The sequence below is a fragment of the Homo sapiens genome, chromosome X, assembly GCF_000001405.40.
Source record: "Homo sapiens chromosome X, GRCh38.p14 Primary Assembly".
Classification (NCBI taxonomy): Eukaryota; Metazoa; Chordata; class Mammalia; order Primates; family Hominidae; genus Homo; species Homo sapiens.
Window position 1 is genome coordinate 124412540 of NC_000023.11, and position 13197 is coordinate 124425736.

General features: G+C 41.4%; 1 protein-coding gene across 15 annotated transcripts in view; it reads right to left on the bottom strand.

Annotated features, from left to right (window-relative positions):
- Positions 1-13197, bottom strand: part of TENM1 (teneurin transmembrane protein 1) — an 828410-nt gene that overhangs the window by 36637 nt on the left and 778576 nt on the right. For all 15 annotated transcript variants that reach the window (XM_017029210.3, XM_017029211.3, XM_047441760.1 and 12 more), the window contains 2 exons: positions 9733-10099; positions 7772-8282 (listed from right to left, as the gene is read on the bottom strand). In XM_017029210.3, the coding sequence (XP_016884699.1) occupies positions 7772-8282; positions 9733-10099 (878 nt within the window). The remainder of the gene's footprint in view (positions 1-7771; positions 8283-9732; positions 10100-13197) is intronic.

Sequence of the window (13197 nt, forward strand, 5' to 3'; positions counted from 1 at the left end):
TTTTAAAGGAAATATGAAAGAGTCAGACCCTCTTTACACTTTCATGTCAGAAAGCTGACCAACCTAATAAGAATTCTTTAGGAAATATGGGATTCCCCTTTCCTCACTAATAAATTCCTTTGGCTTCCTATGATTCAGTTCCAAGTCCATAATGTCCTTCTATCTTCATTTGTCCTTCATTCAATAAATATCAGAGTCTTGTGCTAGGGACCAGGGATACAGTGCTGAATGAAATTCACAGTCTAGTGGGGCAGATAAGATATGCACACAAATAACTCTAATGCCAGAATATTGCCATGAATTTCTGTAAAGAAGAAACTAGAATCTCAGAAGAGGCAAAGGTCATTTCCAGCTGGGCTGAGCAGAATAGGAGGAGGAAGAGCAGAAGCAGGTGGTGTTTGAATCCTAGAAGGTAGGTAGAGATTGGGAAGGGGAGGAAGGCATTCCAAATGGAGGTATGAAGAAAGGCACGCTGACTGATGGGATGTCTACTGGGGGACCAGCATTGCTGGAGCACAGGGTTCCTCTAGGAGGGTAGTGAGAGATAAGGCTTATACAATAAAGAAGCATAGACAGTTTTTCAAGGGGATAAAAGGATGATCCAAACAGTGTTTTGGTGGCAATGAGTCTTGGAAGGGGAGGCAAGGAGCAGGGAGAACTGTTAGGAGGCTGCAGACCCAGTTCATATATGAGAAGATGGTGGTCTGTTGCCTTCGTTAAATATATTGTGATTGCCTATCATTCAGATTTGTCTTCCCCACTAGACTGTACAACTCTCACATCTTTAGAGGGAGGACACAGTGTCTCATTCATTTTTATATTCTCCGTGTCTGGAACAGAGTAGATCTCACTCCATGTACTTGTTGAATGAGTATAAATAGGATGCTGCCAGTGAAAAAAAGGATGGGGGTGGATATGAGAGCCAATGTGGTTACAGAACAGACAGAACCATCGATAGTGCTTCTGGGAGGGCACACTCAGGTTACATAGATGTGCTATGGAGTTCAGCGGAACTTCCCTACCAGCTTCTGTTACTTCTGTTCACTCTGTCTTTATTTCAGTTCTTCCCAGAAATACCGACGATAATTCTGTTTTACTCACTCTTGATCCTTATCAAGGGCATAAAGCACAAGGAGAGGTGACTGAGCAAGGGTGTCAACTCTCTATTTCTAAAGATCTGAAGGAACAGCCAACATTTCTATGTTCTTGTTTAATTGAAATCATTCACCTGCCTGGAGGCATGTGCCTGAACCATACAATGCCTTAGTTCCTTTTCTACTCTGGGATTCTAGAAGGCATTGGAAACGTCACATGTGTTTAGAATGACTGATTATTACATAAGCATTTCTGCATGGGAATCGCATCCTATCCCCAGGCAAATATCTCACCCAGAGACATGGCTTGTTTATCTTGCCCCCTACCCCTTCTGATCTTATAAGGGAGAAGGGGGAATCTGTCATTAGCCATCCATGATAAAACTGGGCATTTGTAAAACAGTCTAGAAGATACCCAGAGATATTATGAAGGCTTCTCCAACCTGTCAGTGGGTGGTGTTTTTGTTTGTTTGTTTGTTTGTTTTTTGTTTTCTTGATGGGAGGAGAGGATGTGTTAATAAAGTCTGAAAACAGAGAATGCAGAAGACGAAGGATCAAGAGATCATGTAAACGGAGAGTCTCCTTCAAGTGGGAGGGCTTCCCACAAAGGGCAAGGGGCCTGACGAACCGTCAACTCAGAATGGACCAGCAGCAGTGACACGACTGATGCTTTGGCCTTAGTCTGGGACCTTTTCAGTTTAGTAGAGCAGAAGCCTTTGCCAGGGAAACAAGCAAGGGCATCCTGGCTACTTTTGCAGCCTTGTGGAGAAAGGCTTGTCTGCTGTGCGAGTTGCTAGGCCCCTCCCTCAGATCTCAGCTGCTGCGGGGTTATTACAATTAGGAGCCCACCTGTGCCGCCTCAGGCCAGTATTCGTGCCTTGACAATCACTTCCTTGTTAGCTGTTTCTCTGTGGTCAGCTTTTCCCCCTGACACTTGGGACACTCATGGGCAATGGTGCATCAAATACTAACACTTGGGGTGTGCAATTTTGATCCTGGTCCAAGTCAAATGGAATTATGAAAATTAGTGAACTATGTAAACAACATCACACTACCTAATAAAAGCCCAGGCACTACCACTACACAAGATGCATTTTAAAATCCCATTTGGATTATCCACTGTTCAGGGTCATCTATGTCATTTTTCCTCCTGATAGCTGCAGATAATAGAAAGTTGAATGGATTAGTGACTGGCCTACCTTTACACTGCAGTCTTCCATCCTGCCAAATTTCACTTCTGTTTCTGTTTCTCTCATGCTCCTCTCAGAGCAGAACTTATACTTCCACCTGTGCAAACAATTTGTCCCCTTGTCCACATAAAGAAGCCTCCCTTTTACCTCGGGGAATTACTCGAGTTCTTTTAGGAGGGCCTGGTATCAGTGGTATAGCAGCCTTCTACCGACCTTAGCACTGCTCTGACCCTGACTAGAAGAGTAGGTCAAATGCTGTGTTCTCCAACTTCAGAAGGACAAGAGAAAACTTGAAGGAGTGCTCAGAACTAGCCAAAGGACTAGAGGACAAAAGTGAAAAAAGTCAGATATTGTATAAAGACTGTAGGAGGAATTAGTCACATTATGAAGGTTGGAAAGTTGCTCATTTCTGTTTACAGGCAAGAAGGGACAGGAGCTGTGTTTTGTTAAAGACTGCTGTTCAGCACCAGAATAGACTGCTTCAGGAGAAGAGGTACCTTCTCCTTTCAACAGATGCTATTTGACCAAGAGGGTTTCAGTATAATTCTGGCTGGAGTTAAGAAGGTGGGAGAAAGAACAAATGGTTATTCAGCCTCCCTTTTCATCTCCTGGTGCTACCTATTCCTCTTTTACTGCTACTTGAGGGGAAACTTTCTAGCTCTCTAGATTTTGTATGGTCACTCTCGTAAGCCCACATGATCCTCTGTTTTCTGTTATCCTGACTCTGGATAAGCCAACTAGCATGTGAATGGGCACGTTACTTCCCTATTCTGGGTTTCGGTTTCTTCATTTGTAAAATGACATCTAATGTCTCTTTGTGGCCATAAAATTTCATGACTACCCCCATGTGGATGTCTGTGTTTCTCATAGCTTAGTGGCTCGAGATTGGTTACTCACCAATGATGTTAGTTGATACCTTTTCACTCACTGTTGGCCAAATTCTGGTAACAGGCCTGGACCCCATTCACCGTGAGAATCTTGCCTACCACACAGTGCCTGCATCAATGTGATGCCAGTGGAAAACAGGCACACAAATTGATATGACAACAAAATTATCTTCTCTCTTCAGCATCATCAATTTTCCCCTCTATATTAGATCATTTTTATCAGTATACAAATATGCTGTTATTTCTCTCACTTAAAAAACTCTTCTGTTTACTCTGTTTCTCCTCCAGCTCTAATTTCTCTGCTCTTTACAGCAAAACTCCTCAAAAGAGTTCTTTACTCACTGTCTCAGTCTCTCTCCTCCTAGTCATTCTATATTATTATTATTGAGATATAATTCTCACACCATAAAAATCACCATTCTAAATTGTACAATCCAGTGACTTACAGTACATTTGCAATGTTGTGCAACCATCACCACCACTTCTAGAACATTTCTATCACCCCCAAGATAAACCCCATATGAATTAACCGTCACTCCCCATTCATTCTTCTCCCCAGCTCTTGGCAACTACAAATCTATTTTCTGTCTTTATGGATTTGCCTCTTCTAGACATCTCATATAAATGGAATCAGAAGGGTCCTTTGTTTCTAGATTCTTTCACTGAGCATAATGTTTTTGAGGTTCATCCACATTGTAGTATGTATCAGAACTTCATTTCTTTTTATGGCTGAACACTATTTCATGACATGGATATATCACATTTTGTTTGTCTTCTCACCACTTGATAGGCATTTGAGTTGTTTATATTTCTCAGCTATTATAAATAATGTTGCTATGAAAATTTGTGTATCCATTCTCTCTTAAGAGAATATTCTACTCAGGCTTTGGTCCCTCATGTGTCACAGCGCCTGCTCTTCACAGTGCTAAATCAAGTGGTCAATTCTAAGTCCTCATCTTACTTATCAGGAGTATTTGGCACAGTGGCTCACTCTTTCCTCCTGGAATCACCTGTTTTATTTGGTGCTATGGTCTGAATTTGTCCCCCTAAATTCAAATATTGAGACTGAACTGCCGATGTGATAGTACTAACAGGTGAGGCCTTTAGGAGGTGATTAGGTCATGTTGTCTCTGCCTTCATGAATGCAATTAGCAATCTTACAAAAGAGCTGGAGAGAGCCAGCTAGGTCCCTTTTCACTGTCCCCCTTCTGTCATATAAGGACTCAGCAGGCAGTGCCATTTTGGAAGCAGAGAGTAGCCCTCACCAGACACTGACTCTGCTGGCATCTTGACCTTGAACTTCCCAACCTCCAGAACTGTGAAAAATAAATTTGTTCTTGATTAATTACCCAGTAAAAGGTATTTTGTTATAGCAGCACAAACAGATTAACACAGTTGGCTTCCAGGACATTCCACTCTCCTAGTTTTCTTTCCACTTCACTGGCCTTTCCTTCTCAGTGTCTTTTGCTGGTTCCTCTTCATACCCTCAACTCTTTTCTTCTCTTTCTTTTTTTTTGAAACAGAGTTTCGCTCTTGTTGCCCAGGCTGGAGTGCAGTGGCGCCATCTCAGCTCACTGCAACCTCCACCTCCCGGGTTCAAGTGATTCTCCTGCCTCAGGCCTCCCAAGTAGCTCGGATTACAGGTACCCGCCACCACACCCAGCTAATTGTTTGTATTTTTAGTAGAGACGGGGTTTCATCATGTTGGCCAGGTTAGTCTTGAACTCCTGACCTCAGGTGATCCACCCGCCTTGGCCTCCCAAAGTGCAGGGATTACTGGTGTGAGCCACTGTGCCTGGCCCATATCTTCAATTTTAAACATGGAGTGCTTCATGGTCAGTCTTCAGATCTCTTTTCTTCATTGTCTACACTCACTTTCATGGAGAGATCTCATCCCATCTCATGGTTTTAAATACAATCTAAACACCAGTACATCTCAAATTTCACTCTCCACCCTCTCCCCTCAATTCTAGACTCATATATCCAATTGTCTACCTGATATTTTCACTTAGATGCCTAACTAAATTGATCATATCCAAAACTGAATTCCCAATCTCCCACCTCACAACCTTCCAGTATAATATGTTCCTTGTATAGTCTTCCCCTCTTGGTAAATGAAAACCAGTTGCTCAGGCCAAAACCTTTGAAGGTATCTCTGACCCCTCTTTCTCCCACACTCAATACTCAATCTCTCTATAAGTCCTGATAGCTCTACTGTCAAAATGTATTCAGAATTTTAGCACCTCTTACTGGCCCAACTCCCTGGTCCAAGTCATCATCTTTTGCCTGCATTATTGCAATAGTTCCTCCTGCTTCCCAGTTAGGTTCCCCTGTTTCCACTACACAGTCCATTTGTAATACAGTGTGATTTTTTAAAAAATGAAAGTTGGCTTATATCACTTCTTTACTCAAAACTCTCCAGTGGCTCCACTTCTTAGAGTAAAATTCAAAGTCTTTACAGTGGCCTACAAGGCCCTACATGAAGTAGTTCTGGTTACTTAATTGATTTCATGTCCTCATTAACCTTACTCATTCCACTTCCATCACAATGGCTGCCTTACTCTTCCTTGAATGTGTCAGGCTTACTCCTGCTGCAGGGCATTTATACTTGCTCTTCCCTTTGCCTGGAATACCCCTCATACCACCCCCCACCCCCCAGATATTCATATGGCTTACTCTTACCTCCTACAGATCTTTATGCAAAAGTCACCTTCTTTCTTGGTGAGGCCTTTCCTGTCCACCCAATCTGAAATAAAAACCTCTTCTGCTCCACCCACTTGATCTCCCTTACTTTACTAGATTTTTCTCCATAGAACTTATCACCATTTGAAATTGTATACATCTTCCTCATCTTCCTCCAGTACAATATAAGTTCCATAAAAGTAGGGATTTTTATCTGTTTTATTCATAGCTATATCCCCAGCGCCTAGAACATTGTATGGTATGTAGTAGGTGCTCATGTGTTTGTTGAATAAATACATGAATGGTTGAACTGGTTCTTTTGAAAACTAGTTAATACTTCAGCCATCTCTTGCTGGGGGACTGAATTCCACCATTAGCTTTCAAAATAGTTGTTTGCCTAATTTCAGCTGCAGTGTGATCCGGCTTGAGTTTTTAAAAAAGACATTAAAACTTCTCATTAGAAATTTTATCTTTTCTAAGGGTAGTATATTTAAAAACACAGGCTCTTGCTGGTTGAATCCTGGGTATTTATGTGAATCAGGACAAGTTAACTATTTTGTCCTTCAGTTTTCTCATCCATAAAGTGGGCATACTTAGGGGCACCTATCCCATGTTATTATGGGGATCAAATAAAGTCACATATGTAAATTACCTAGCCCAGTACCTGGCACTTAGTAAATCTTTAGCTAACCGTAGCTTTTATTACTCTTATTAAGATGGAAGAGAATTACTTTCAAAAAACAGAGGAAGACTTGCAACTGAAACAACTGAATACATTTTTCTAAGTGAAACCAAAATAGCTGTCTGGCTCTTTTGTACAGATGGCATTTCTTTGGAAAATGATCCAAAACTTGAAGGCCAATTGTTTTGTCCCTTTCTTCAAGAGGCTTTCATGGGACTGGACATATTCTCTATATCCTCCCAAAATAGTCACACTTGGAACCCCTTATACTTTAACATCTCCACTTCTCACATTCTTCAACTTTGATGCCATTCCAGACTCTGAATTCAGATTCCATGGATTAGCTCACTCAGTATACTGGTAAAAAACTCAGCAATTCCTTTTGTGGGGAAAATGCTTCCCGAGTGCCAAAAGACCAGCTTTCTAGATGGGCTTACTTGCAAACAAGGTCATCCATGCCTTAAAAGGCAAGGACAATGGTCTCTATTTCTGTGTTACGGCACCTCCTAGTAGCTTGCTGTCAGACACATTTTGTGTTAGTTCCCCATTAAACAAAGTTATCACAGTTCCAGTCTATAAATGCCAAAATGTGCTGGATTATTCAACTTGTGCAGGGACCCTGAGGAAGCCCAATCCCGTACAGAGCATTTGGCTCTTCCTTTTACAGAAGCAGCCAATGGAATGGAGCCTCTCCTATTCAGCATTTGCCCCACATAATTCTTCTCTTGCTTTCCAGGGTCCACTTCTTATATTTGAACTTCTCTCTTACCTCCCACAGCAACTTATACTGAGCTGGGCTGGGCTGGGCATACATTCATTTATTCATTCATTAAACCCCACAGGGCTCAATAAATAGTTGTTAAGTCACACTGCTTCTTTGCTGCTTTAGAACTACAGTTTTGTTATTTAAATGAAATTGTACCTTATCTTCCCAGGGATGTTGTAAATTTCTTGAGTACTTGTACTTCTACCTCATTCCTGTCTCCTGCAGTGCCACACTTGAGTCTTCCTTGATGCAGTCTGTTTTTATTATTATGCTCTGCAAACTGCTCTGGAAAAATGGGTCTGAACTCTAGGAATTAGGTAAAATTTTCTCCTTGACTTTTCATTTTTTAAAATGGTGGTTGTTAGGAGAAAACAGCATGCAACACTCAGCAATTACTAAGGCATTTTCCCAGTATAATACAATTTCAAATAAAAACCTAACAAAGCCCATGTCAAGAATTAGAAACTTACTCATAAACGGTTGTCCATCCATTTTCGTTACTTTTGGTAGCCAGAAGCCCTGTGTTTCCTGGATAGGTCATTAAGGCCAGATTATAGCCTTGGGCTGACACTCTTTTCAGGACTCCATTGCTGCTTATAGTCAGCCAGTATACTTGTCCGCCAGGCACCACAAGCCATAGCGGCATTCCGCCTGCATCACGGCGAATGTGCACTGAATTGCCATTGCTGCTGGTAATCGCGCCCAAGTCACCTTCAGAATTGTAGGTGAAGTTATAAACATAGTCCCTTGTTATCAAGTTCAGGGTGTGTAGGTGGGTTCCATTTACAGTGAACTGGTACAGTTCCTGATCAGCGGGTGAAGCAATCTCATAAATGTTCATGTCATTCAGGTGGGCTTGGTTCCTGCTGATGGTACGAATTCGAACATTTCCGAGGTCTGCCACATAGAGGGTTCCATCAGGCGACACTGCTAAGGAGGAAGGGGCTTTCATCTTTGCATCTTTGGCATAGCCACCATCACCTGTGGGAGAAAGACTTGATTTTAACAATTGGCATCATAAGCATTTACATGAACATACCACAGACATAAAGCTCTGTGCATCAAGAATCATTTTAAAGGAAACAATCAGTGAACCAACATTCTCTGTATTCCCTCCCTGAAAAATATGAAGCCTATTATTCAAAAGATTGTAATTCTTGAGTCAGTACCACTGCAGATGAACAGTAAGATCTAATTATCTCAGTTATACCAATTTTGTGAAATCCTCAATCCTGCTGTTCAGAATCTATTGTATTATAAGAAACAAGAACTGCAAATAATGATAGCCACACAAAATTTGGCTGGAAATCTGAGAGTTATGCCTGTCAATGCTTTCAGGATCTGTTTCAGGACTTTCCAGTCCTACTGTGCCTAGATGCCCTTTCTTCTGTTAATTCCCATTGTCACACTGTCAAAGTACACTAAGTCTATAAGTACAACAATGATTCAGAACATCAAATTTGATACCTGGAATAAACATTAGATTTGCTTTGACCGAAAGATACAAATTAGCAAAATATCTATAAAACTAATTGTCGAAGAAAACATTGGAAATATTGATCAAAAGTCATATTGACCAAATTGCTCACTCCTGACTCCTCTGGCCTAAGGAAAGGCAAAGGTTAAGAGAACCATTCGGGCCTGGATGAACAGTTTAATAGCACTGCGTGTAGTATGGAGGGATTTCCACATCCCAGCAATAATTGTATCTGTTGACATTAAGAGGACCGTTTGCCATCTGAGATATCCACTACATGTTTTGGGGAGAAGGCTCTTTTTTTTTTTTTTTTCCAATTTCGATTAGAAGAAAACTTCACTATGGGTTATTGAGAAAGTCTTAGCTTTTTAAAAAGCAATGTATCTAGCAGACCAATGTCCTGAGAACTCTCCATTGCCAGATTTAATTTTGCTCATCTATCCCAAAGACAGTCTGTTCTTAGTCCCTTTGAGTCTCAAATAGCACATGCTTTTAATCTGAAAACCAACCACTTATGGGGAAGTAATTTTTTCCTCAGCTAAACCAGTAAATGTGGGTTTTACCTAGTTTTCCTTTCTCTAAAGTACAAATATTTAATAATATCATGATCTTTCATTTGTATAGTGGTCTCAACTTTTTAAGAGTCTAAACATTTTTATTACACTAGTTTATCCTCAGAATAGCAAGGTGATATAACTGAGACAATGCCATCTTTATTAAACAAATGAAGCAAATGAGTCATGAAGAGATCTTGCAGCTTTGCTAGGGTCACTCAGTGAGTCAGTTGTGAGAACAAGTCGGTGATCTGACTCCTAATCCATCGCTTTCTCCACTAGCTCATACCAATGTTTGCAAGTAACACTTTGCTTTTCCTTTTCCTTTTGACTTTACTGGGGCACGTTTTTCTTTTCAAAACAGAGAGGGGAAGCTGGTGAATTGCTAAAAAGGTCATACCTGAAAAACAGTCACAGTTTGGATCAATTTTGCAGTCACAGTCAGTGGGGGCACCAGCGATGATGTAGATCTCCCCATTGGTGGTTACTTGCTGAATGCGGTTTACTTTCCTCTCGTCTGTTTCAGCTATGAAGAGCAGCCCGCTGTGGGAGACACTGATGGCCCTCGCTGACTCTAGAGTGGAGTGAATTGCTACCTTGCTGACCAGGAAATGATCGATGCCTGGCACCTGGCAGTGAATGGGGCGTCCTGCGATGATCCGAACACGCCTGTTCTCAGAAATTTGCAGCACAATGTTGTTATCCAAGACATACAATGAATTGTCCATAGGATTTACTGCAAGGTCTGTTGGCCACTCTAATCGCACCTGTGAAACGAACAGAACACATACCATTAGGTTACCATGTCTTTCCATGGACAGTTTTAACTTGAAAAAAAGAAAAAAAAATTGGTGTATTGTTTCCCCCGTCTTATGAATTTTAGCAACATTGGTGATGTCTCGGAAAGTGGAGGGCAGGGGGAGGATGGTTAATCACATGTTCTGGTAAACGTACTTATCATTTATGCCATTTACAATATAATGTAATTTTTTCCAATAATTTCAGAAGGATCATTTAGAGTAGAGGTTTTCAAAGTGTGTTCTCTGGATCAGCAGCAACAGTATTATCTGGGAACTTGTGAGAAATGCAAATTCTCAGGTCCCACCCTAGATCTATTGAATCAGAAACCCTGGAGGTGGGGACCCAAACATCTGTGTTTTGCCAAGGTGATTCTGGGGATCATTGCTGTAGGAATTCCGGTAGCTATGATACTCAAATCTCTCTCACTGTCCTGTAGACGTATAGGAGAGCAAAGTCATACAGGTTTCTGGGTGACAGAATGCCAGAGAAGCCAGATTTTACTCAATGAGCAACCTTTTGCAACAGGACCTGCTATTAGCATAGACCTAGCATCCACTTTGTGGAACACTCAGGTACAGTTCGTCAGCTGTTGATTTAGAATCCTGGGGTGTAGCACACTGCTTACTTAGCTTGACCTGGTTCACTCCATAGGTTCCCCTTTTTAGCAAAGAAACAGGTTGTTTTTTTCTTTCACTGAGTATTCGCTGAGTACCTTTCTCTGGGTTAAGCCTTGTGCTAAGCTTTGGGGGCTCAAAAATGACTACGACACGGCCTCTGTCCTCAAATGATTTGTGGTATAGTAGAGCCCTCAGAGGAACCATTAGACAATTACTCTCCACGTTATGAAAAGAAGGCAACAGAGGGGATAAGATAGCACTTCACCTGGACTAGGAGTCAGGAGGCAAGATATTCCCAGAGCAGGTGGTACCTAAGTAAGGTCTGAAATGAACAGTAGGAGAAGAATTGGGTGGAAGTTGAGGGGGGAGGGGCATCAGAGTTGAGGAAAATCTGGGTACTAGGAAAAGCATGGGTGAAAGTCCAGAGGTTAAAGACAGCATGGCCCATCCAGGTTACTAAAACTAATTCAGTAAGACTAATAATAGGCTGGGTGTGAGGGAGACCTGAGGGATGAGGCCAGGTGTTATGGACTAAATTGTGTCCTCCCCAACTTCATATGTTGAAGCCCTAACCCCCAGTGTGACTGTATTTGTAGACAGGGCCTTCAAAGAGGTAGTTTAGATTACATGAGATCATAAGGGTGGGGATCTAATCCAACAGGACTGATGTCTCTCCAATAAGAGGAAGAGATACCAGGAATGCTTACGCACAGAGGGATGACTATATGAGGACACAGCTAGAAAGCAGCCACCTGCAAGCCAAAGAGAGACACCTCAGAAGAAACTAAACTCACCAACACCTTGATCTTAGATTTCTAGCCTCCAGAAGTATGAGAAAATACATTTCTGTTGTTTAAGCCATTCAGTCTATAGTATTTTGTATGGCTGCCCTAGCAGACTAATATATCAGGTGCTCTGGTTTGAATGTGTCCCCCAAATATCATGTGTTGGAAACTTAATCCTCAAATTCATATGCTGATGGCATTTGGAGGTGGGGCCATATCCATCACCTCAAGCATTTATCATTTCTTTGTGTTAAGAACGTTTAAAATCCACTCTTGCAGCTATTTGAAAATATATAACAAATTGTTGTTTATTATAGTCACTCTATAATGCTCTAGAACACTAGAACTTAGTCTTCCTACTTAGTGGTAGTTTTATATCCATTAAGCAACCTCTGGCTATCCCTGTCCACCTTCCCAACCTCTAGTAACCACTATTCTACTTTCTGCTTTTATGAGGTCAACCTTTTTAGCTTCCATATATGAGTGAGAACATGGGGTATTTATCTTTCTGTGCCTGGCTTATTTCACTTAACGTAGTGTCTGATATGGTTTGGATCTGTGTTCCTGCCCAAATATCATGTTCAATTGTAATCCCCAGTGTTGGAAGTGGGTCCTGGTGGAAAGTGACTGGATCATGGGGGTGAAGTTCTTATGACTGATTTAGTACTGTCCCCCCTTGGTACTGTATAGTGAGTTCTCATGAGACGGGGTTGTTTAAAAGTGTGTAGCACCTTCCCCTTCTCTCTCTCTTCCTCCTGCTCTGGCCATGTGAGGTGCCAGCTCCCCTTCACCTTGGCTATGACTGTAAGTTTCCTGAGGCCTCCCTAAAAGCCAAGCAGATGCCAGAATCATGCTTCTTGTACAGCCTGTGAAACCGTGAGCCAATGAAACCTCTTTTCTTTATAAATTACCCAGTCTCAGGTATTTCTTTATAGCAGTGTAAGAATGGATTAATACGGTGTCCTCCAAGCTCATTTATGTTGCCACAAATGACAGAATTTTGTTCTTTTTTGTTGCTAAGTAGTACTCCACAGTGTATATGTACCACATTTTCTTTATCCATTCATCTGTCGATAGACACTTAGGTTGAGTTCATGTCTTAGCTGTTGCAAATAGTGCAGCTATCTCTTTGACATACTGATTTCCTTTACTTTTCTGAATCATAACAGTTCTATTTTTAATTTTTTGAGGAAACTCCATATTGTTTTCCATAATGGCTGTACTAATTTACATTTTCCTTTCTCTGCAACTCACCAGCATTTTTTTTTGTCATTCTGATAACAGCCATTCCAACTGGGGTGAGATGATATCTCATTGTGGTTTTGATTTGCATTTCTCTGTTTGAAAGATAATTAGGATTAGATAAGGTCATAAGGGTGGGGTCCCCATGATGGGACTGGTGGCTTTATAAGAAGAGGAAGACAGACTTGAGCTGGCATGTTTTTGTCCTCTTGCCATATGATGCCATTCCACCATGTTATGATGCAGCAAAAATGCCCTCACCAGCTGCCAGTGCCATGCTCTTGGACTTCCCAGCCTTCAGAACCAAGAGCTAAATAAATGTTTTTCTTCATAAATTACCCAGTCTGTGATATTCTGTTATAGCAACAAAAAACAGACTAAAACATTGGGTAATAGAGGGAAGCACATGTCCAGTTTTGT